Source organism: Homo sapiens, chromosome 9 (assembly GCF_000001405.40).
Source record: "Homo sapiens chromosome 9, GRCh38.p14 Primary Assembly".
NCBI lineage: Eukaryota > Metazoa > Chordata > Mammalia > Primates > Hominidae > Homo > Homo sapiens.
Genome location: NC_000009.12, coordinates 93,673,580 through 93,699,236, shown reverse-complemented (window position 1 = coordinate 93,699,236; position 25,657 = coordinate 93,673,580). Strand labels below are relative to the sequence as shown.

General features: G+C 49.2%; 1 protein-coding gene across 5 annotated transcripts in view, besides 1 other annotated feature; it reads right to left on the bottom strand.

Moving 5' to 3' along the window:
- PHF2 (PHD finger protein 2) overlaps window positions 19,650-25,657 on the bottom strand; it is a 103,004-nt gene continuing 96,996 nt past the window's right edge. For all 5 annotated transcript variants that reach the window (XM_005252051.3, NM_005392.4, XM_006717143.3 and 2 more), the window contains exons 18-22: window positions 25,375-25,652; window positions 24,215-24,310; window positions 23,448-23,557; window positions 22,274-22,643; window positions 19,650-21,649 (exon numbers count right to left, since the gene is read on the bottom strand). In XM_005252051.3, coding sequence (XP_005252108.1) covers window positions 21,561-21,649; window positions 22,274-22,643; window positions 23,448-23,557; window positions 24,215-24,310; window positions 25,375-25,652 — 943 coding nt within the window. In that variant the 3' untranslated portion in view covers window positions 19,650-21,560. The remainder of the gene's footprint in view (window positions 21,650-22,273; window positions 22,644-23,447; window positions 23,558-24,214; window positions 24,311-25,374; window positions 25,653-25,657) is intronic.
- Window positions 20,393-20,892: an enhancer, noted in NCBI's record as "H3K4me1 hESC enhancer chr9:96440627-96441126 (GRCh37/hg19 assembly coordinates)". NCBI's record gives its function as "activates a minimal SCP1, AML or CMV promoter by ChIP-STARR-seq in naive H9 embryonic stem cells {active_cell/tissue: H9 hESC(naive)}" and the evidence as "EXISTENCE:reporter gene assay evidence [ECO:0000049][PMID:30033119]".

The following is a 25,657-nucleotide window of genomic DNA, read 5'->3' as shown; positions in this document are numbered from 1 at the left end:
GACTGGTGTTGCTGGGGCGGGAACGTGTTCCCCAGTAGTTTCCCATTCTGTGGCCTTTCCAGAGGTATAGAAGGCACCCACCACCAGGGCTGACCTGAAAGACTGGGCTCCAGCTGGGCAGAGGGCTGTTAGCTCAGAGGTCATCTGGTGCCCATAACTCTGGCAATTACATCCGTCCATCCTGTATCCAGCCAGAACTATGAGTTTGACACATGTCACCATGCCTAAAGCCCACTGCCGTCTTGCAAATTCAAGAAGTTGAAGTTCAGCCCCACATCTTTTTAAGATGAGGGTACTGAGGCGCGAGGAGACCTCGTGACTGTCAGTGTTCGCTCTCCCTCCCTCCCTCCCTCCACACCTGACCTGATGCTGAGCCAGGCTCCTCCTCAGCTGCACAGGAGGGAGGCTCAGACCTCTCCTGGACGCCTCCTCCTCCCAGCCCGCTGCTCGGTTTTCCCCGCAGCTTAACAGGACCACACGGGGCTGCAAGGTCCAGCCAAGAGGCCTCAGCGGCTCTGTGTGCAGAATGTCCCCCTGGTGAGAGCTCAGCCAGGGCGGAGCAGATGCCTGGGAGGAGTGAGGGTCTGTGGCTGAGGTGTGGCAGGGAAGGCAGCCCTGGGCAGGAGAACAGAGGCTTCCGGGCTTGGGCTGAAGCTGAACCCAGGGCCTGCAAGTGCTCCCACCCCTGGCTTCCATGGGCCTGTGTGGCTGCATGGAGGCGGGGCCATTCAGAGCCCCCCCCATACCCAGCTGTGTGCAGCCCCCGACCCCAACCTCATGGAAGCAAGGGAAGGTCCTTCCCGAGGGAGACTTGAGTTGTCTCAGGATTCTGAGCACCAAATAGGAACACTCATGTCAATTCCCAGGTAAAGGCCAGCCGGGAGGGGGACAGAGTGGACCTGCACGTGGTGGGCATGAGAGTCCTTGGAGCTGAGGCCTCCAGATATGGCAGGGAGAAGCAGGCCCCCCAACAGGGTGGGCAAGAGGGAGTAGCCTGGAGACCATTCGGGAGCTCTTCTGTCCCTGGGGACTCAAGTTGGGACGCCAGAGCTGAAGGATGAATAAGGACATCCCTTACTCAGGGAACATGGGAGACAAGACACCAAGGCTGAGGCCCGAGGAAGCTGCACGCTCCCTTTCCCCAGGGAGAAAGCCCCTTCCACAAGCCCCAGTCTTTGTCTTGTGGGGTGGGCGCCCAACTGGCATGTTTTAGACCTTGAAGCCTTGGGGGTGGTTGCCACGGGGCTCCAAGGCCAAGGCGTGTTTACCCGCAGTAGTCAGGGAGGGGACGCCCTGCAGAGGCTCCCTAAGCGAGACAGTGTTCCGTTGCAATTACCCGTAAGCCTGGTGTTTACACGGCAGCGAAGGCGTATCAAGTGAGTGTTCAAGAGGGCGGAGCCACGTTTGCAAAAATAAAAACCAAATGGCAGGGTAATTTCCACCAGAGAAGAACTCACTCTCACAATTGCACGGTCTATTTAGCACGCTTTTATAAAACCTTTTAACCAATCAGCTCTGAACCCCTGAGAGCAAGGCCCACCCCACCTGTCAGGCTTGGATTTCCAAACACAGGTAGGGCGGTCCGCTCCGAGACTGGATGCGGGTTTCCTTCCCCAAACACAGCAGAAGCCCTGGCAGTTTTAGGACAGGCACTGAGCAGGGGGTCCTGAGGGCCGGGCGTCAGGGGCTCTGTGCCAGCCCTGTGGATGGAGGTCCCTGATCCGGAGGGATTCCTAGGGGAGAAGGGAGCCAGGGTTTCTGGAAGGACGAAACAGCAGGTCGGGACTGTGGCACCACAGGGACTCGAAGGACCCACAAAGGCCCGACTAAGCCTGGGGACCCTGGAAATCTTCCTGCAGAAGGAAATGCCTGAAACAGACTGAAAGGGAAAAGTAGGATTCAACAGACCAAGAGCAAAGGGAAGGGCCTTCTGGATGGACAACAGCCCCGCGCAAAGAGGGGCACAGGTCAGCCTCGGCAGGGTTATGTTTGTTTGTTCCCCCTGCCCCCACCCACCCGAGACGGAGTTTTGCTCTTGTCACCCAGGCTGGAGAACAATGGTGTGATCTCAGCTCACTGCAACCTCTGCCTCCCGGGTTCAGGTGATTCTCCTGCCTCAGCCTCCTGAGTAGCTGGGACTACAGGCATGCGCCACCATGCCCAGCTAATTTTTCCATTTTTAATAGAGATGGGGTTTCATGGGGTTTCACCATGTTGGTCAGGCTGGTCTTGAACTCCTAACTTCAGGCGATCCACCCATCCCGGCCTCCCAAAGTGCTAGGATTACAGGCGTGAGCCGCCGCGCCTGGCCGGGATTATGCTTATTGCCTGAAGGAGGCAAAGTAGAGGAAGAGTGCTATCCCATGTAAGTCTCTGTCCGGGAAGAGAAAGGCATGGGCCATGCCAAGCTCCCAAGCAGGGATGTTGGAGGTGATTAACCAGACTGAACTTTAGCCTTAGAAAAGGGCATTTTAAAATCAACTTTATTGAAGTATGATTTAAATACCATGGAATCCACCCATTCTCAGTGTTCAGTTCGATGTGTTTTGATTCCCACCACAGTGAAGCTATAGTGCACACCCACCCCCGGAAGAGCTCCTTCATGTCCCTCAGTACTTAATCCCCATCCCATCCCCTGCCCTGGCCCCAGGCAGCCAGTAATTGCCTTTGTTACTATTAGGCAAACTTCACTTGGAGACTTTTATATAAATGGAATCATACCACAGGTACTATTTTAGGTTGGGCTTCTTTGGTTCAGCATAATGATTTTGAAATTTATCCCTGTGGCTGTGCATATCAGCAGTTCATTCCTTTTCGTTGCTGAGTAGTATTCCATTGTATGAATGTATCTGAGTTTGTTTATCCATTTACCTGTTGCTAGATTTTCGGGCTGTTTCCAGTTAAAGGAACGTAAAGCTGCTATGGCCAGGTCCTATGTGGCCATAACCTTGGATGGTGCTTATGGTAAGTACATGTTTAACTTGATAAGCAAATACCAAAATGTTTCACCCAGTGGGGAGCATTTTATACTGCTACCTGCTGTGTGAGAGTTCCAGTGGCTCCACATTTTCTTTAACACATGGTCACTCACTTTAATTTTAGTCATTCTAGTGGAAATGTAGTGAGTGGCACCTCATTACGGTTTTAATTTGCATTTCCATGGTAAATAATGCCAAGCATCTTATCATGTGATTATTGGCCATTTGAATATCCTCATTTTGAAGGGTCTTTCAAACATTTTCCCCCATTTTTATTGTGTTTTTTTGTCTTCTATTGAATTTTAAGAGTTCTTTATGTATTTCCAATAATATATTCCATTTAGATTTTTTCCTCCAAAGTGTGGCGCCTTTTTAAACTTTTTATTTTGAAATAATTGTAGACTCAAAACAATTTGCAAAAAATAAAATGTATGGGGAGGTCCTATACACCCTTCACCCAACCTTGCCCAATGAAAACATATTGCATAACAGGAGTACAATATCAAAATCAGGAAATTGACATTGGTAAAATCCACGGAACCTATTCAGATTTCTCCCGTTATGCATGCACTAATTTGTGTATGTGTGTGTGTGTGTGTCAGTATAGTTCTGTGCAGTTTTATCATGTGTAGCTTTATGTAACCATCATCAGAATCAGGATCCTTAACTACACCATCTCCAAAGACTCCCTCATCCCAGTCCTATTATCCACAGCCCTAACCCTGGGCAACCTCTCATTTGTTCTCCATCGCTGTAATCGTTATTTAATGAATATTATATGAAAGGAATCACACAGTCTGTGTCCTTTTAAAACTAGCTTTTTTGTTGCTCAGCATAGTTCCCTGGATTAATTCACATTTCTGGTGCATCAATACTCATTCCTTTTTATCACCAAGTTGCACGCATGGTGTGGATGTACCTCTGCATTTCGACATTCACTTGTTGAAGGTCAGTTGGGCCTTTTCAAGATTTTGGCTATTACAATGAAAGCTGATATGAAAGTAGCTGTTCATTTCTCTGGGATTAATGCCTAAGGATTTATCTCTGGGATACATTTCTTCTCAGATAAATGCAATTTCTGGGTCCTCTAGTAAATCCATTTATAGGCTTAAAAGGAACTGCCAAAGTACTTTCCAGAATGACTGCACCAGGAATGAATGAGTGATCCGCTTTATCTGCATCCTCACGGCATTTGGTGTGGTCACTATTTTCTATTTTAGCTGTTCTGATAGGTGTGTAATAATATCCCATTGTGGGTCTAATGTGCATTTTCCAAATGGCTAGTGATGAGCATTTTTTCGCTTGCTCATTTGCCATCTGCATATCACCTTCGGAAAAAGTCTGTTCAAGCATTTTGCCAATTTTCTGATGAGATTGTTTCTACTGTTAGGTTTTGAGAGGTTTTCGATCCTAGTCCTTTGTCAGATATGTGGCTTGCAGACATTTTCTCATGGACTGTGGCTTCTTTTTATCCTCTTAATGGGTCTTTCACAGAGGAGCAAAAGTATTTATTTTTTATTAATTTTTCTTTTTTGGATTGTTATTTTGGTATCAAGTCTAAGATCCTTTTTATTAGTCTAATCCTAAAGATTTTATTCTATATTTTCATCTAAAAGTCATTTAGTTTTACATTTTACACTTAAAACTATGAGCCATTTTGAGTAAATATTTTTGTAAGGTGTGAGGCTTCGATCAAGGCTCATTGTTTTGTCTATGAATGTGTAATTGCTCCAACACCATTTATTGGAAAAGCTGTTCTTTCTCCACCACATTACTTTTGCACCGTTGTCAAAAACCAGTTGGCTGTACTTGTGTGGGTCTTTCTGGGATCTCTGTTGTGTTCCATTGATCTGTGTGCCCGTCCCTCCAACAGCACCATGCTGTCTTCATCACTGTAGCTGTGGAGTAAACCTTCATATTAAGTACAGTGATTCCTCTCACTTTATTCCTCTTTGACCAAACTGCTTTAGCTAATTATATTATGGATAGTGGGCTAGGACTGCCATAACAAAGTACCACCAACTCAGTGGCTTAAACAACAGAAAGGTACTGTCTCGTATTTCTAGAGGATGAATGTCTGAGATCAGGGTGCCGGCAGGGTTGGTTCCTTCAAAGGGCTGAGGGAGAATCTGTTCCAGGCCTCTCCCTTTGGCTTATAGATGGTGGTCTTCATCTTTCCTTGGTGTTCTTCCTGTGTGTGTGTCTGTCTCCAAGTTTCCCCTTGTTATAAGGACACCAGACACATTAAATTAGGGCCCACCCTAATAACCTTAATTTAATTTGATTACCTCTGTGAAGACCCTGTCTCCAAATAAGGTCATGTTCTGAGGTACTGGGGGTTAAGGTGTCAACATATGAATTTGAGAGAACACAAACATTACTTTAAGTCTTGTGCTTTTCCATATACATTTTGCAATAAGTTTCTCTATGTCTACCAAATGCCTTCTTGGGATTTTGATATGAATTGCATTAAACCTATAGATCAGTTTGGAAAGAACTGACTTCTTTACCATGTTGAGTATTTCAATTCATGAACATGGTATGACTCTCCACTTATTTAGGTCTTCTTTGATTTATTTTATCAACATTTTGTAATTGTCAGTGCTTCAGACCCTGTACATGCTTTGTTATGCTTATACCTAAGTATTTAATTTTCTTTGGAGTGAGTAAAAAATGGCATTGTAGTTTTAAGTTTCAGTTTCCAGATGTTCACTGTTAGTATATAGAAACACAATCGACTTTTGTATAGTGATCTTTTATCCTTCAACCTTGCTGAACTCACTATTTCTAAGAGTTTTTGTTTTGTTTTGTTTTATAGATTCCTCTGGATTTTCTACATAAACAATCATGTCATCTGCAATGGGAACAGTTTCATTTCTTCCTCTACGATCTATCTGCTTTTTTTCCTCCTTGCCTCATCACAGTAGCTAGAACATCCAGTACTGTGTGAAATAACAGTGGTGATGCAAATATCTTTTCCTTGTTCCCAAACTCAGAGGGAAAACATTCAGTCTTTCACCATTAAGTATAGTATTAGCTATAGGGTTTTTGCAGATTTTTTTTAGCGAATTGAGGGAGTTCCTCTCTGCTCCTAGTTTGCTTAGGTTTTGCTTCTTATGAATTGTTATTGGATTTTGTCAAAAGCTTTTTCTGCATCAATTGATATAATTATATTTTTCTTCTTTAACCTGTTGATATGGTAGATTGTATTGATTTATTTTTAAATATTGGACCAGCCTTATATACCTGGAATAAATCCTACTTGATCATAGCGTAATTTGTTTTATACTGCTGGATTTTATTTCCTTCTATTTTGTTGAGGACCTTTTAAATCTAAGTTCATGAGAAGTATTGGTCTGTCATTTTCTTTTCTTGTAATGTCTCTGTCTGGTTTTGGTATCGGGATAATGGTGTCCTCATAGAATGAGTTAGAAAGTGTTTCTTCCTCTTTCATTTTCTGAAATAAATTATGTAGAAATGGTGCTAATTAAGTGTTTGCTAGAATTTTCCAGTGAACCATCTTGGCCTGAAGATTTCTTTTTTTAGAGCTTTAAAATGATCGATTCAATTTATTTAATGGCAATAAGACTATTCAGTTTGCCTTATTCATCTGATTGAATTTTGGTTACTTGTGATATTTGAGAAATTGGTCCATTTCTTCTAAGTTATCAAATTTATGAGCATGGAGTTGTTTACAGTATTCTCTTATCACATGTTAAATGGTTGCCGAGTCTCTTAGGATATTCCCTCTTGGTATTGGTGATTTGAGTCTTCCTGGTGTTGGTGATTTGGGTCCTCTGTCTGTTTATCTTAGGTTTTTTTAAGAAGATTATCAACTTTAATAATTTTTTAAAATTAATTTTATATATTATTTTTCTGTTTCCAGTTGCACCAATTTATGCTCTTATCTATATTATCTCCTTTCTTCAGATTGCTTTGGAGATATTTTGCTATTCTCTTTCTGATTTCTTGAGGTATGAATGTTGTCTTAGTCTGTTCAGGCTTCTATAACAAAAATACCATAGACAGAGTAGCTGAAACAAGAAACATTTATTTCTCACAGCTCTGGAGGCTGGGAAGCCTAAGATCAATTTGCTGGCAGATTCAGTGTCTGGTGAGGTCCCACTTCCTGATTCACAGACTGCCAGTTACTCATTGTATCCTCACACAATGGAAAGCAGCAAGAGAATGCTCTGTTTCCTTTTATAAGGGCACTAGTCACATTCACAAGGGTCCTACACTCCTGAACTAATCACCTCACAATGATCACACCTACTAATATCATCACATTGAGAGTTAGGAGTTCAACATACGAATTTTGAAGAGACACAAGCATTTAGTCCATTACAAATACAGATTATGGTTTTGAGAACTTTCCCTATTTTAATATAAGTGTTTAATGCTATAAATTTCCCTCTCAGCATGGCTTTTGCTGCATACCACAAATTTTGATATGCATTTTTTTTTTTTTTTGAGATGGAGTCTCACCCTGTGGCCCAGGCTGGAATGCTGTGGTGCGATCTCGGCTCACTGCAACCTCCGCCTCCTGGGTTCAAGCAATTCTCTTGCCCCAGCCTCCCAAGTAGCTGGGATTACAGGCGCATGCCACTACACCCAGCTAATTTTTGTAGACAAGGGGTTTCACTATGTTGGTCAGGATGGTCTCAAACTCTTGATCGTGTGATCCACCCGCCTCAGCCTCCCAAAGTGCTGGGATTACAGGCGTGAGCCACCGAACCCAGCTGATATGCATTTTAATTTTTACTCAGTTCTATTTATTATTGATTTTTCTTTGAGACCTCCTTTTTGCCCTCATGGATTATTTAGAAATGTGTTGTTTACTTTCCAAGTGTTTGGAGATGTTCCTTTTGTGTTTACCCTGTTGATTTCTAAGTGATCATTGATTAAATCACCGACTATTGATTAAATCGAAATTGTCAGAGAACATTCCTTGTATGATTTCAACTTTTTAAAATTTGTTAAGGTTTGTTTTATGGCCCAAGTCTATCTTGGTAAATGTCATGGCTATTTGAAAAGAATGTGCATTCTTCTGTTGTTCAGTGGATTGTTCTTTCAGTTGCTAAGAGTTGAGTGTTTAAGTCTTAACCATAATTGTGGATTTCTCTCTTTCTCCTTTCAGCTTTATCAGTTTTTGCTTCATGTACTTTGAAGCTCTGTTGTTTAGTGCATAAATATTAGGATTGCTCTATCTTCCGGATCAAATGTTGCTTCTATCATTACGTCCCTCTTTGTTCCCAGATATTATCGTTTTTCTAAATTCTACTTTATGTGATATAATTGTAGCCACTTATTCTTTTCTCTTAAATTAATGCTTGCAATGCATATCTCTCCATTCTTTTACTTTCACTTAGCTATATAATTTTGTTTGAAGTGAGTCTTTTGATGACAGCCTATAGTTGAAGCATGTTTTAGTCACACTGCCAGTCTCTGCCTTTTAATTGATGTATTTAGACCATTTACATTTATAGCAATTATTGACATGTTAGGGCTTAAGTCTGTCACTTTATTATTATTTTCTATTTGTTACTTTTGGCTTTTTATTCCTCTATTTTTTTTTTTTTTTTTTTGCCTTTCTGTGTGTTATGTGAACATTTTTGAGAGTTCCATTCTGATTTATTTTTAATGATTTTTAATAATATAGCTCTGTATAGTATACTTAGTGATTGTTCTAGATATTACCATGTACATACATTATTTATTTGCAATCTAGTGGTGCAGATGTTTTACCAATCTGAGTAATTTCTAGAAATCTTACTTCCACTTAGGCTTCATTTATAGTCTCAACTTTCAAAATATAATGTTCCTAATTATTTCCTCTACATATATTGAACACCATATCTGAGGATACTATTACCTTTTTTCAACCACAAAATATGATTAAAGAAACTCTTTTGAAGAATTTACTTCTATTTTTAACTATTTCATTTACTTCTATTTTTGTCTTTTTAATTTTTATCTATTTTGTTGTTGTTCTTTCCTTTCTAAAGGTCCCAGTATTCTTGTTATTATTTTCTTCTTTGCTATTTTTTTAAGAGTGGATGTATTAGCAAAAAGTTATCTTAGTGTTTGATCATCTGAGAGTGTCTTTATTTCCTCTTCATTCATGAAAGATAGTTTCACTAAGTACAGGATTTGGGGTTGACAGCTCTTTTCTTTCACTTGAAAACTGTTGCACCACTTCCTTCTGAACTCCATGGTTTCAGATGAAGAATCTGCTGTTATTTGAATTGGTGCTCCTTTGTAGGTGATGTGCCATTTCTCAGACTTTTTTCAAAAAGACATTGTCTTTGTAACTTTCATAAGTTTAAATGTAATGTGTCTTGGTTGGTGTGGATTTCTTTAGGTTTATCCTATTTGAAATTCATTTAGCTTCTTCTATCTGTAGGTTTATAGCTTTCCCATGGCTTACCTTTTAATTTTTTTATTAGAAACTTACAAAAAAATGTATTTTGAAGTCCAGCTTGTCAATTTTTTTATTTTACGTTTTGTTCTTTTTGTGTTCAGTCTAAGAAGCCTTTGCCTATACAAGTTTATTAAGATTTCTCCTATGTTTTCTTCTAGAAAATGTATTGCTTTAACATTTAAGTTTAGGCCTTGAATCCCTTTGGCCTTAATTTTTGTGTATGGTATGAGTTAAGAGTAAAAGTTCACTTTTTTGCCCTTAGGCAGATGTCTAGTTTTCCAGCATCATTTGTTGAACAGACATTCCTTTTCCATATTGAGATGCCCTCATACTTTTGTTAAAACTCAATTAACCATATGCATGTGAATTAATTTCTGAATATTCCATTCATTTGCATTTTTCTTTATCTACTACACTGTTTTATTTACCCAGCTAATAAGAAGTCTTTATAACTTTATATTCACTCTTGACATCAACCAGTGTAGTTCTCCAAGTTTGTTCTTTTGGAAAATTATTTGTTTTGGATGTTCTAGGTCCTTCATATTTCTATGTCAATATCTTTCAATTTCTATCAAAAATATTGCCAAGATTGAAATGCAATAAGTGAATAGATTGGTTTGGGGGAAATAAAATCTTAAAAATAGTGACTCTTCCAATTTGTAAACACACTTTGTCTGTCCGTTTAAAGCCTTCTTCAGTTTCTCTTGACAGTTTTGGTAGTTTTTAGGGTATAGGCTTTGCAAATATTTTTGTTAAATTCATCCCAAAATATTTCATCTTTATTATGCTATTGTAAAAAGTATTGCTTTATAATTCCATTTTCCATTTGTTCATTGCTAGCCTATAGAAATACAATTGACTTTTTAGTATTGAACTTGTATTCTATAACCTTGATAAACTGGCTTTTGCCAATCTTTCCAGTCTTATTACTTTTTCTCTTTGCCTCCTCCTTTGGCCATTACACACAAAACTGATTCATGCTCCAGGTCTTTGCTCAAAACAGTTCCAGTAGCTCTTTACTAGATTCCTGAGGAATTTCTACAAATATAATAATGCCATCTGTGAGTGCCATCTAAAATGTTTTTTATAATTTATTTTTCTTGCCTTATTACATTGGCTAAGTACAAAGCTGAATAGAAGTGCTAAGAGTGGATATTCTTACTTCAATTCTGTTCTTGGGGGAAAGTGTTCATTCTCCTTACCACAAAGTATGCATCGATGCCCTTTATCAGGCTGAGGACATTCCCTTCTAATTCTACATTTCTGGAAACTTTTGTCTTGAATGGGTATTCAGTTTTATCGAGTGATTTTTAGTCATATGGTTTCCTTCTTTATTCTCTTAGTGTGGTTACACTGATTGATTTGAGATAAACATCACTTCAACATGATGTATTATCCTTTGTATATATTGTTGGATTTAGTTTTCTAGTATTTTGTGGAGAATCTGTGACTGCATACATAAGAAATATAAGTGTATAGTTTTCTTTGTAATTTATTTTTAATGTCTATAATTTTGATACCAGGGTAATGCTGGCCTTGTAAAATGAGAGGTTTTGCCTCGTCCTCTATTTTCTGAAAGAGTTTATATACCATATCTTTATAAAATGTTGGAAGACATTTAATTATGAATTCAATTTTAATATGGCAAGAGCTAATCAGATTTTCTATTTTTGCATCAGTTTTGGTTACTTGTGCTTTTCAAGGAATTTTTCCATCTAATTCGTCAAACTTATTTGTATAAGCTTGATCCTAATACTCACTTGTTATTCTTTTAATGCCTGCGGGATCTGTAGTAATGGCCACTCCTCTGTTTGTGATAATAGTAATTTGTGCCTTCTACATTTTTTTCTTAATCTTTCTAGCTAGAGGTTTATCAATGTTATGGATCTTTTCAAAGAACCCATTTTTTGTTTCATTGATTTTCCTCTTTTGCATTTCTATTTTCTGTTTCTTTGATTTTTCACATGATTAATTTAAAATTAAATAAAATTTAAAATTTTGTTCCACAGATCCACTCAATTTTGAAAAAAGAGAAAAAAATTAAATTCATAACTTAGTCACACTAGTCACATTTCAAGTGCTCGATGGCACGATATGAACATTTCTGTCATTGCAGAGTGTTCTACTGGATGGTCCCGCTCTGGGGAATGGGAGGTCTGTTCCTCAGTTGGTTTCATTTCTCTTAGCTAGGCATTTTCTCCAAGCTTCCCAGGATTTATAGGAGGACAGGTGGCTCTCAAATCTATGCTGTCCTCTTCATGACTCTGGCCTTGGCCCCAGCTCAAGACTTGTTAACCACCTCCCTTCTTCTTGGTCCCTCAACCCTTACCATCTGTTCCCACTTCTGCTTCTCGAAGGAGCTTCTAACTCAGTAATCCACCCTGAAGCATCCTGCTCAAATCTCAATGCTCTCATTACCTGGACTTCCACAGGGCTTCCTAGTGGGGGAGGATCTGTCTCTCCCACAAGCCTGAAGTATGATTGCTTTTGGATGGGCCATGAGAACACCCATGTCACTTGGTGTCACTTGGCCTCAGTTGCTTACTGTACTGCCAGGGGATGGGGGCCATAGACAATAGCTGACAGCCTCAGAGCTGTGTTCCTACTTCTCTTTGGTTTGGTCTATGGCCTCGGACCCAGAGCTAAGACTGAGGCCAGAGGGGAAATCTTTTCTCCAGGCCCCATCCCTAAGGCTGGCCCAGGAAGGCAGCTTCCAATTCGCAGTCTAGCCGAGTTTGGGCTGAGCACCCAGGATAGACATGGTCACCCTCAGAGGAGTATGGGATGGAGGGCCAGAGGCCACTTGTCTGGCACAGGCTGTGGTTGGACAATCCCAAGCCTTGCCCTCTGCCATCTAGACTTCCAGGAGCCCCTGGCCTGCCTGTTTAGGCCAGCCAAGCCCACTGTGGTAGAGGTGGCCAGACCCAGCCCCCTGCTACCTGACCATGCCCCTGACTGCCTGCCTGTGCACCCTCAGGCCTTGAATCACTAGGGTCTCGGAGGAGGCAACAGCGATAACCGCAGACCCCAGAAGGGCCACTCAGATACATTGTGTGTCCTAATCCACATCTGCAGGGCCAAGCTCAATGCAGCTCCTTCCTCCATCCCCACCTGCCCCAGGACCCTGCGCAGCCTGGGGCCCAGCCCCTGCCCCATACACGTCGCACTTCTCCAGCAGCCTGGCCAGTCGCCAGACCTGCCCCCTGTCCTTCCCTGCTCTCACTCTGGACCCTACTGTGCACTCATGGGTACCTCTGCCTGGAGCCCCTTCCTCTGACACTCTCTTTCCCCACCTGGAATCACAGTCTCTTCTTGTCAGACTCCATTCTGGCACTTCCTCTTCTAAAATTCCCTGTGTGCCCCTCCTTACCTTGGTCTCCAATCCTTTTCTCCTCCAGGGTCCCTGGCCATTCCTTTCACCTTGCTACCCACTGACCACTGAGGCCCTTACCTGCCCAGGAGCTGGGGCTCCCCAAGGGGAAGACCACAGCTGGCTCACCACTGTGGCCCCAGCGCCAGCTAACATGAGGTCAAATGGAGACCATCCTCAGGGGTGAAATGGGCCTGGGGAGGCCTGATGACTGCGCAAAGGATGCCCTGCTGGGGCTGTGAGAGTTGTAGTACAAAACAATGGAGGATCCTTTGTTTGACACAGAGTGTCAGGATCCTGTAACAGTGAAGAGCCACAGATGGTGGTTGAGCAGGAAAGTGACCAGAGGAAATACTGTTTCAAAGCTGAATTTGGAGCAATAAAGAAGGGAATCAGGAGACCTAGACAGGGCAGGGCTGGTGTAGGGGGTCCTGGGAGATTGCACACCCCCCCCACCCCATGACCCGCCCCAGAGTGAAGTGGAGAGCTAAGCCCAGAGAGTGTCTGCATTGAGCTGGGGGAAAAGGGAGGGTTTGACCAGGAGATCGCACCCCTCCTCCCTGAACAGGGAAAGTGGATGCAGCCTGAGGTCATCAACAGCCTTCAGGTTTGCTTCATGGGTTTGCAGCTCATCAATCCAAGGAGGACAATAAGGATCTGGTAGATTGGGAACATATTCCAGCATTGCACCTGGAAACCCTGGACAAGCAGAGTCCAGACATTGATTAAACTTTTACACCGGGAAAATCCCATCTTCAGGGAAAGTAATTTCTGTGTATTTATGTGCCACAAATACCTGGATACCAACGGGGAATATATCAGGGCGATCCCAGTGCTCTGCAGCAAATTACAATACATCCCAGTGGAGCAGAGCTGCGTGGTTTAAAAAGTAAATAATAAGGAAACAGGACTGTCTTTTTCCCCAGATGTAAAGGTGAAATAAATGGCTTTTTTGAGCAATGATAATAATCCCAGTAAACGTCTGACACTGAGCTAAGGTGGCTTACCTCTGTAATCCTGATGGCGCTGGAAGGTAAGATGATTGTCCCCACTGGGGTCCCTGCCAGCCCAGGGAGCAGAGCAGAGATGCCGATGGCCCCCTGGAGGCACAGACATGTAGTTTTCCTAAACTCTAACAGAAAGGAGCCCAAGACGGAAGGAAGGAAATACAAATGTACTCCTGGGCATGTCGCAGACCAAAGCTTCCTCTACCAAATATGTGAGTCACTGCACATTTATGTAAGATTTCCCTTTCACAAGTGGACAAAACCTCACATTGGTGTACACACATGGTACTCCTGGACAACACATGGACAAAATCCTTCCTCTTCTGGATAAAAAGATATAGGTAACAACATGGAGGTGGCCTCACACACTTATTAAATCAGCCACAATGAGCAGAAATCACCCAGCACCGCAGTGGGCTGCTCCCAGGCAGGGCGTGCTGACAAGAGGGCTCTGTGGAGCTGCCGGCCCCTTTGGCAGCCCACCCTTCCCAACCAGGCAGCCTGAGAGACTTGTCCCCAAGAGCACACCGGGCAGGTGGAATCGTGGCACACCAGGCCCTCGATTCTCATTCTCACAAGACCCTCAGGAAACCAGGGGTATTGCTGTATTTTATAGGCAGGAAGTCAAGGCCCCAGGTCATACAGTGGGCAAAGGCAGCACCAGGACCTCCACCACCCACATCAGCACCAGAAGTGGGGTGCACGCTCTCTTTCTGCTCCTGCCTGCGAAGCCGGCGAGTCCATTGTTTGGTAAATGCAGTTTGCAGGGGACAAGGAGGATTCTGATTTTGGAATAGCACTGGCTGGACAGTGGGGCCCAGGGCCCAGCCTGGCCGGCGGGAGGACGATTAATGACAAGGATCCTACTTGGAGGCCGGGCGAGGGCCCAGCCAGCACCGGGTGTTTACAGCTCGCTCGTCTGTTTGGGGCCTGCAAATCCGTGTCAGATGTTAATGGAACAGCATCATTTTTCTACCGAGGTGGCATCGCTGGGGTTGTTTGGATGAGGCAACGGTGGGACTCGGCCTGGAAGAGGGTTCAAGGGCAATGGGTGGCTCAATGGGGCAGCTGGGGCTTGCCAGGGGGCATCCATCAGGCATCCGCAGCCCAGCTGGGCCCCTGAGGGCACCCCACCTTGCACCCCAGTCACCACAGCCAGTCCCTCTGGCCACAGGGCTCTGCAGACAAAAACTTTAAGTTGCGGCCAAGAAAAAAATGTACTGCAAAATGTGAGAAAGAACCGAAAACTGGAAATCAGTAAGTGTTTAAGCATCAGTACAGGCCTGAGGTCCAGGACATGGTTTCCCCTGCACCTCCTACTGTGCTTCAGTGCCAGGTCCACCCACGGAAGCTCTCGGGCCAGGCCTGGTCGCCCAAGGCAGCGCTGCAGGCCATCACCACTCTCGATAAGGCCTAGAGGGCAGAAGTCAAGGCCTGGGTGAGGACACCTCTCCCCTGCCTCAGCTCCAGTGGGAACCTCCCCTGCCCCTCCGGGTGGAGGCAGCCTTGCCGTCAGCAAGGCAGAGGGAAAAAAAAGAGGCCCAGAGAAGGAAAGTGACCTGCCCAAGGTCACACAGTGAGCAAGACCCTCTGAGCAGGGCTTGCAGAAGGGTAGAAGAGTGCTCCACAAGGGGCTGTTGGGAAGTGGGGGGCACACAGGGAAGCGTGGGCCCTGGAGCAACTCTATGTGGGTCAGCGCCATCACCCCCACTCTGGAGATGAGGAGGCTGAGGCTGTCCTCCAAGGCCACACAGCCAGGCTGGGCAAGGACCTGCCAAGGGCTTGAGGGGATGAAGCCTCCCTCTAACCCTGGCCCTGCTGGCTCTCAGTGCCCTCTCCTCACCTAACTGCCTCCTGGCTCTTCCCCAGCAAGCTGGCTCCTGCCTGAGGGCCTTGGCACAGGCTGTCCCCTCTGCTTACACTCTTCTCTCAGGCTCTCAAGGCTCTGCTCAAAGGCCCCCCAGGCCAGACTGTCTAAGCCTGCCCAGCCCATGACCCAGCCCTGTTCCCTCCATGGGCCGGGGCTTAGGGAGCATGCTAAGTGGTCAGCCAGCCAGAGGAAAGCTTGTAGTGCCCTGCATAGCACACAGTAGGTGCTCAGGAACTGTGACCACACTGGCCACAGGGTCACTGGACAAGACCAGCGGTATTGGACCCGGATATCTGAGACCTTCCGTCTGAGTACTTATGTCACCGTCACCACTGGGAATTATTATTAAGGAGACTGTTTTCGCGAAGACTGGAACACAGCTTGGATTTTAAAATCAGCAACATCTCTCTCTCTCTTTTTAACCCTGTACCGTAAGCCCTCTCAACTCTCCCTTCCACACTACCCTCCAGCCTCTTGATACTGCGAACAAGGAGGGCAGAGACCCTTGGCAGCCATATGTCTTTGACAAGACCTGCCTCAGTGTCACCATCCACAAATCAGGCTCCTTGCCCAGGGCTGTGCAGAGTCTGGGATGGGCACAGAGCTCAGGCTAGGCTAGGCTGGGGCAGGCAGGGGAAAGAGACCTGCCTATCTAGGGGAAAGGGGTGGTAAAGAGAGAGCCGCTGTGGAGACAGCGCTGGTGCCCCTTAGCTGAGCTCCGAGCTACACCCTGCTCTTCCACTGGCTCAGGCCCTCGCTGCAGCCATACACCTCAGGGCCTTTGCTCCTGCACCGCCCCTTGCCCCACACCCACAGCCCTCCTTCCGCAGGCCTTGCAAGCTGCCTCCTGGCTGCTGGCTGCAGAATGTCTCTCTGCAGGTCTCACTTATAAGCCCAAAGGCCCTGGAGCTGACCTGCTTGGACGTAAATTCCTGCTCTAGCAGCTGAGAGACTCTGTGCCTCAGTTTCTTCATCAGTAAAATAGAGACGCTCAGGGGATCTCCCTTGGGGGGCGACTGTGAAGCATGAACAAGGTAACAGAGCACATGTGCATCAATGACTAAGCTGAGCTGATTTTTACTGTCGCCTTCCTTCCCAGCACTCACAGCATGCTTGTTTTTTTGTTGTTGTTGTTGTTTTGGCCCATAGTTACCATCACGCCTGCCATTAGCCCTTAAGTCCCAGCACCCGCCCCAGCCCCAGGCACTAAATAACCTCACACAATTGTCCTCCTTGTTCCCGGCCCTGCCCTGCCCCCCGGTGGTTATTCTGGGTATGGCCCCAAAGGTTCGCAAATTGAACCCTGTTTTGCCAACTGCAGGTTCAGGGACCGGCTCTGGGTCCAGCCGGGGCGAAAGGATGTGGGCACATATATAGGCAGGGTCCTGCAGAATAGACTGACCTGGCCGAGTTTCTGAGCTCCCCACCAGGCATGGAGATGATGGGCACATGGCAGGGGCAGGGGAAGAGTCCCTCGCCTCTGGCCAACCAGCAGCAGGCTGTAGTCCTGGAGAGCTCACTCCACCTGCTCCCGAACTGCGGGGCTCCCCAAGGGCCTGACGCATCCCTCCACTGTGACGGTGGCCCCAGGGCCCTGCTCTGAGCCGCTGCAGACTCTCCTTTCTGTTCAGCCCACAGGGCCCATGTCTGACAACCCCAGGGTCTTGCTGCCTGCCTCTACCTCTGCTCATGTTGCTAGAAACATCACTTTCTATGGTCAGCTCCAGGCGCCCCTGGAGACCTGCCCTTCCCACCTGGAGGCATGTCTCCCCCACACGCTGTCCTGTGGTCCTGTGATCCTGTGGTCCAGGCGGCAGGTGTGGGTCCCGCTCTACCGTGAGCAGCGGGTGCCTCTTCTGAACCTCGGTGGACTCCTGGGCAGAACTGGCTGATGATAACACCTGCCCCAGGTTGTCAGTCATGGTGAAGTCTGGGGCAGGTTCTCCACACAGTCTCGGACACACAGTAGCCACTCAGTAAACAACTGTGGAATCCAGCGAGCTTTGGAGGGCGGGACCGGGGGCAGTTTGCTTGTGTGTGTTCACTGCACTGCGCACTGAACTTGCTCAGGCCAAGCTGGGCAGGCTGCAGGGACAGACAGGCCTGAATCTCAGAGGCGTGACCCACAAAGTCCGCTGCTGGTCGGCAGCTCCCTCCCAGACCTCACCCTCCCAACTTCACTGTCATAGGGCAGTCAGCACCGACACCAAGGTTAGGGGAAGAGCCACAGCTAGGGGCATGCTTGGGGCCACATGGGCCCCTGGCCTCCCGGCTGCAGGCGCACACCCAGAGATGCATGTCCAGGTCTGTGTGCCGCACACCTGGGCAGGATCCTTGCATGACACTTGGCTCACAGGCTGCCTGGCACTCAGTGGGGGCTGGGCTCGAGACACTGGGCCGGCCCGAGTGCAGCACAGGGCGGAGCCTGGGCTCCAGGAGATGCTGGGCAGCCGCAGAAGCCCCTTCCAGGGCCCAGGGTGCTCAGCTCCTGTGAGTCCTAACAGCAGTGCTTGGTGGAGGTGGACCCAACTAGCACCCAGACAGCTCCACCAAGATCCAGATGCTGGGCCCAGGGGGCCGGCCAGACTGAGGGTGGTTGGAGCTCCAGAGCCCGGGCCTGAAGGGCGCTGCACACTTTATCTCAGTGGCTGCGGGGCTGAAGGTGCAGGGACTCCTGGGGGAAGCATAGGACAGTCTCTAGCTGGACCTGGCAAGGACAGGCCAGCTTCCCAGGCAGCCTGGGGGTGTGCAGAGGATACCCAGCTCTTGTGGAGTCCAGCGGAGTGGCTCAGGCTGTGGGAGTGCCCACAGCCCAGGGGCATCCAAAATGCCTGGCAGCCTGGGCAGCCCCAGCATGGGTCCCAGGCACCACCTGGGGGCAGCACTGGGACCCCGCCCTATCCTGGGGAGCCCCCAGGTCCTGGAGGGGTTCCTCCTGGGGGCTCGACCACCATGCGTGGTGGGAGCATCCCCCGGAGCACCCAGCAGGGACTGGAGGAAACAAAGCTCAGAGCGAGAAAGGACTTGCCCAAGGGCAGCCTTGGGTTAGTTTCCTGTGCCACATGACAAACTGCATGGAGTGAATGACCACAGGTCTGCGGGTTGACAAAACCCCTAGAATCTTGCAGTGGTGGGTCAGACACCCAGCACGGCAGAGCCCTCTGCTCAGGGTCTACTGGAGATCCTGCTTCCTCAGGGTGTTGGCAGCCAGGGCCGACCCTGCTCAGCAACCTGCAAGCTGAGCAACCTTGGGTGACCCAGGCCAAACTTGTCTCCAGCTTATCCCACTCCCAGCTCCCATCCCAGGGCAAGACCCCATGTGTGGGGGCCTGGGCCAGTCCAGCCGTCATCACACCCCTTGATTCTCAGCATCTGCCTGCCCAAATGGCCCGAGGTTATTCATGTTTCTTCAATAAACGCCAAATGGCCTGTTTATCCGTGGTCCTCAACATTGTCACCAGCACCCCCACGCATGCACCCCCACCAACAGACTGACCCAGGCCTCACCTGTGTCCCAGCAGCCCTGCCTGCCACACATCACGAGCAGCGACCCCACCCCTGCGCTCAGCACCCTCCCTGGGCTTGCACCATTTGAGTGCCTCTGTCAGGTAAGGGCTGTTCCTGGTAGTTAGCTGTAATCACATCAGACTTAGGCTAGAACCGTGCAAGGGACTGAATGCTTCTGGGTGTGCATCCGTGCTGGGGTGCACATGTGTGTGCCTACTGGACTCAGCCAAACGCCATACCCTTGAGTCCAAAAGAAGGTTCTAGAGGCTTCCCAAGGACATCCTCAGGGCTGGGACTGACAAACGCTGCTGCCACCCCTGCAGCCCCCGAGGGTCTCTTCTGTCCACTCCTGCCAGCCAGCTTGGGGTGCTGTGTGTGATTTGGCTGAGCAACCCGAAGCTTTCCATGAGGAACGCAGGTGGCTGGAGCCTCCCCACCACCCTCACTGCCAGGGTGAACAACTACAGTCGAGGCAGAAATGACACAGACATGGTTCTGTACAAAACCTGAAATATTTTTACTTTTTTAAAACTTTGATCTAAGTTGCCTTAGACCTCATGGACTCGATACAAGAGTAATATGAATTGGGAAATAAAACACTTTAATAGCCACGATAAACTTTGTTAGAAATGTACATGTTGCCAAAATAATAATAATAAAATTAAAAAAAAGAGAGAGAGAGAACAGCTTGATGTCCAGGTTAGATTATATAAATGTTCAACAAGGGCAGGGTAAAGGAAACTTTAAAAACACCAGTTCTGAATAAGCCTGGGGCCCCGTGAGACTCCCCCTCTCCCACCCAGTCTCGGGCCCTAGGGACTGCGTCCCTCCAAACAGGACAAGTGGGAGTGGATAAGGCCTCCACCAAGCTGCCTCTCCCAGTGGACAAAAACATCCAGGTAATGGGTATATAAACAAAGCTCATAAGAAATGTACAAATATAAAAAGCTACAAACATTAATAAATTACAGCATCACAAAACACGGAAACACTTCACAAGGTGCTAGTAAAATAACTGTATCCCCCAATCCCCTCATCATACAAGGAAAACAAAGAGCTGGTATTAAAGTTGAAGATTCATCTTCAAAATGTGTCTGAAATAGATCTTTTGTGTACTATTTGCTTCTGTAAAGACAGAGTGTAAGGCTGCACAGACATCACTTGTTTTTCAGGCAATACCTTAGTTCTTAAAAGAAAAAAATAATAATAATAAAAGGAAAGGAGAAGGAAAAAGCATCAGAACCCAACTGTCCATCTGACTCAGCAAAAAACTCGTATAAATGTTAATGAAGAACTCTATAGAAAGAAATTCCTAAAGATACTTTTACTCTTATAAAAAAGAAGTTATTTAAAAAGCTATTTACACGCTACATTCTATGAAAAATATGCTTCAGGAAATACATCTAAAATTAAAATACAGGATTGCCTGAGAAACAAATCCAGCCCCTCCGTGTCGATGGTGGACACACCATCCAGGTACGACCCATGCAGGCGACACCACACGCTGACACGGGAGAACAGAGAAGTGCCGACCGTAAGTCCTCGGGCCGCCTGGCCACTGTCCCTGCCCCTGCCCCTGCCCTGCCAGTCCCAGGGCAGGGGTGCCTTGGCTGAGAAGTGCTTCTCCAGAGTGTGGCCAGCAGGGCAAGACGGTCCCTGCCACATGGCTTAGCCTGGGCCTCCCAGACCCCAAGATGTGGCTGAGCCCTTGCCCTTTCCTGGGGACCCCACAATGGCTCCCCTGCCCGCTAACACACCAACCCAGCTGCCAGTCTTAGCTGCCCCCCAGAAATGCTCCTGGGCATTCAGGCTGAACACCCACCATCCTGCTGCCACCTGCCAACCAGAAAGCTCGGGGCAGACCCTTCCTCACCCGCCGAGCACTGTCTGGACTTGGCTGAGAATCACTCAGGAAGAGAAGGGGGGACATAAACATCCCACTTGCTCCTCCTCTTTCTGTGTTCTTTGCCTTTTTTTTTAAGCCCCTGGAGGCTGCCAGCCTGTGGCCAGCTCTGACTCTGGGGCTGGTGAGCATTGGCTCACTCTGTCTTCCTTGAAGGACTCATGCTCTCAGCAGAGCTGCAGAGGCCCTGCAATCACACCCACGCTCAGGGGGCCTGAAGGCTGTCCTTAAAGTGGAATAAGCGGTCCTCAAACTTGCAGGGCCGCTTTTCTGGGACAGATCACTCTTAGCAACTTGAGAAAAGACGTCCATTTTCAAATTGAGGGGCCACGCTGGGCTCGCTCTGCCGGCTGAAGGGACAGACGCTTGTTGGGGAGATGGCAGCCGGGAAGAGGCAAGGCCCTCCCTGGTGAGGCAGCTCGGCACCCTCCTGGGAGGCAGATGTTTTCGCGGGGCTCCGGGGGTCCTGAGCGGAGCAGAAGGATCCTGGCTTTCCAAATCTTAAAGGAGTAGTTTCCCGTTCCGATGAATTTTCAAAATTTTCCCAAGCCTCTGCTTGGCGGTCGCCATGCCCTTTTTCGTACGTTTTCCTAGGGGAGTCGGGGAGGGGACACAAAAAGGGAAGGTAAGCTAGATGGCAAGGGGCGTGGCATGCCGGTGGGGGGGAGGGTCCCGCTGACACTAAGGGGCAGCCTGCAGTCCCCCATCTGTAAAATGGGCCTATGAAGCCCCAGCTCCGAGCTCAGCACCCTTCAGGAGTCTGGGATCACTGGCAAAGCCTCCGCCTCAGAGGCCGTGTCCTCAAGGGGCCCTGGCAGGTAGGATGGACATGGGCTTGGGGATGGCATTATGAGGAGGACATGAGGATGCCTGGGCACCACCCCCAGTAACAAGGCCAGGAGCCACTGCCAGCACCCCGTGCTGCATCACTCAGTCCCCACAGCTGGCCGGCCCCACGGCTGGGGTGCAGGGGTGCAGGCAGATCAGGGGCTGAGCACGCCCACTGAGCAGAAGGATGAAAGCACACGTCCTGTACTGTGGGATACGCTCACACAAAGATGCAACCAACTTGGACCACAGCACCCTGCCACCCAAGGCCCAGGAGCCCTCCCAATGTGCTGCCCTCTACCATGGGCCGAGTCTGCATGTCTGGGGCTGCCCATGGGGGCAGGCAGGGCAGGGGGGCTGCAGGCTCCCTCCAGCAGGCACAGTACCTTTGGCAGCGGTGTTGTTGTTTGGAGACGATGCGGAGGGCCGCCTCTGTGTGAGAAAGACCCCAGGGGCCATGGGCTGGGAGGTGCGGCCAGCCTGGGCCCCGGTGAAGGTGCCAGCGGCTGTGTACTCATGGTCCGCCAGGCTGCTGCTATGCGACTCAGGCGGGGGCTCTGGCGAGCTGCCCTCCTGCGAGGCCTGGCTGCTGGCCGTGCTGGTGGAGGCCGGGGTGGTGGAGGCCGGGGTGGTAGAGGCTGGCGTGGTGGAGGTGGAGGTGGTGCCGGCAGAGATGGAGGTGGAGGTGGAAGGGGAGGTGGTGTTAGGAGTCAGCTTCCTCTTGGCACTCTTTTTTTTCTTGCTTTTCTGCTCCTCCTTTGAACAAAACATGCAGGGCAGCCTCAGACGCACAGCCCACTTGGGCCAACAGAGCAGGGAGCTCCCGGCATGGCCTTGCCAGGGGCCCTTGAGCACAGCAGGGCTGGGCAGCAGGGGCCTGAGGCCTGACTCTGGGCCGCCAGGGGCACAGCATGCACACGGACAGGGCGCCAGCACCCACAGCAGCTGCCTGGCCTCCCTGTCAGTGTGAGTTAACCTAGCAGTTGAGCCTGTAGGATGGCACTCCTACCCCATCACCCCACTCAGTGGCCATATACATCTCCCAGTTCTGGAAGAATATTCACTTTGATCCTAATAACTTCCTTGTGTGCCCAGATGAGGTTGGGCCTGGTTGGGAGGGTATGTGAGGCTCTAGGACCCTCCATTTCTGAGCTGGGAGGAGCTAAAGGTGGGAGATGAGATTTTTAGGAGCATGTAGAGACAGAACACCTCATTTCCCAACTGAGGACAACTCAAAAACACCCACATGATGGGGGGAGGGGAAGGGGAGCTCCCTCCAAGCTGCTGTTGTACCAGAGAGTAGCCCAGCCTTGGCACGAATAGGGCTGTCCAGTGTCAGGGCCCCAGTCGTCAATTCCTAGCTCCCCCGGACCCCACACGGGGAATTTAGGGCCTGGAGGAATAGGGCACTCTCTAATCAAATGTCCCCAAGCCTGTGACCACCCCTGGCTCAGTGGGTCTGTGTATGGGGTGGAGAAACAGGTGCCTTGGGGAACCTGAGCCCACCAGGTGGGGGTAGCAGGGACCTGGCTGCCGTGTGTCCTTCTCGCCCCTCCTCACCTGCTGGGACAACTTAGCTGCAGCAGCCGCCAGCCCGGTCTCGATGGAAGCCACCCGTGTACCCTCACGCACAGGCCTGTCCTGTCTTGGCACCGATGGGCCGACCCTTGCTGTGGAAAAGAAGGGCCAGCCCCCTCAAGCTGTAGGCCACAGCCTGTCCACCCCTCCTGGTTTGGGGCTACCCTGCCCCCACCCCAGCCTGTCCCCCTGGCCAGGCAGGCCTAAGCACAGGGATTCCTGGCTGTGAAGCCGCCTCACAATAGGGCAGGGTCAGCTGCCCCACCCAAGGGGGAAGATGCCACAGTGGGGTTTGCATGGGGCAGAGCCCAGGAGGCCCAGCAACATCAGAGTCTGGGCAGGCGGGTGAGGGTAATGTGGAAGGTGGACAAGGCCTCACCCCACTGGCTGCCCCAGCAGGTGTCCCTCAGCCACCATCAAGTGGGTGCCTCCGGTACAAAGGTGACCCTCACAGAGCTGCCCATTGAGGAAGAAACCAGAGAGGAGCCAGCCAGAGGAGTGAGGGCTTTTGAGTTGGGGCTGTGTAGAAGCACATCTGGGCTCCCAGGCCCCCAGAAGCAAAGCAGAAGTGAAGCCCACGGCACTCCTGCAAGCAGCTGACCAACCCCAGCGGGACGGGCTGCCCAGCCCTCAGGATAGGACAGGTGCAGAGCTGAGCCCACATTCTCAGGGGCTGGAGGGACCACAGACAAAGTCACAGCTTCCACACTGGGTGTCAGGTGGACCCCCTACCCCTGTCCCAGCACTACCTGTTGGGCTGTAGGGAGCGTCGTCTGAGCCTTTCCTTTTCTTCGACCGGGACTTAAAGATGGGGTTGTCTTCATCTGACTCCAGTGAGGGGTAAACTAGAGGGAGGCAGAGGGAAGGCGTGGCCCGCTGAGTGCAGGGCAGGTCCACGGAGGAGGGCGGGGGGGTACAGGTGGCTGCAGACCTTCCTCGCCAGCAACCCCAGGGCCTACACTAAGGCCTGCCACGCTGTGTCACTGTCAGCTGTGATGGAAGCTGCCCATGGTGAGGACACCCCAGGCATGGGCACAGGCCCCAGAGATTATCCAGAGGGGCAGGGACTCTCCAGACAAGAAGGCACCTGCATCTACCTGCCCAGCCTCATCTGTGCAGCCTAGCCCCAGTGCCTGCAAGCCCCTGGCCTCTAAGGGCTGCCCTCCGTACATCTGTTCATGGAGCTTGAGATCCCCAGAGGCCCCACCTGGAGGAAGCTACAGCAGAGAGTGGGGAACCAGGGAAGGATGGGACCCCATAATCAAACTAGGGCATCTCAGTTCCTGCAAGAGAAACACTTTGAGGCTCCAGGAAAGGTTCTGTTTGGTGAAAACTCCTCACAACTCCTTCCGTTGCTATGAAAAGGGAAAACGTCTAACGTCCATGGAGGGTGGGCTCTGACAGCCCCCACCCTGCCTGGCGGGTCTAGGTGGAGGGGACACTGTAGGGCATGACCTGTGGCTGGTGGGGAGCTGCCCCAACACGGTGAGGCGGTGACCCTGTGACCCTCAAAAGCCAAGTGCCACCCTACACTCACTGCAGGTTGTGGTCCTTCAACCTCCGGGGCCTGTCGAGGAATGCCCAGGACCCAAGGTTCAGGAGGAAGCAAGATGGCGCCCGGTGCCACACACCTCCAGAGCCCAGAAAACAGGAGTTCACTTTGCTGTCATTCTGTTTGTCAAACTAGAGTAGGCCCCACCACGAAGCCCAAGCCTGTCCACCAGATGTGGGCCCCGGCCAGTCTCGCTCACAGGAGGGTCTCCGGGGACAGCAGTCAGAGGCCGAGGGTTTTGCTGAGCTGAGGCCTGCTGTAACTTGGAGAGCTGCATGTTTATGCTACTGTCTCCATTCTCAGCCAGGCCTTCTAGGGCTGAGCATGGGCCCTGCCCCACGCAGGAGTGACACTCACCGTAGTCTGAGTCCTTGAAGCAGGCATCCAGGTGGTCCTGCTCTTCCTCGTAGTCGTCCAGGTCGACACTGTTCTTGGCAGCCCTCTTCAGCAGTCGTTTGCCTGCACTCTTGCCACTGCCACCCCCATTCTTCCGGGCACCATGGGCAGCCAGCGAGCTCCCCTTGGCCTGGCCAGCTCCCCACGTGGTCTGCAGGCAGGAGTCGGAGGCCTGCAGGTTGGCCATGGACAGCATTCCCTGAATGGCTTCCTGTGTGCTGGGGGAGGCCGGGGGCTGGCTAGG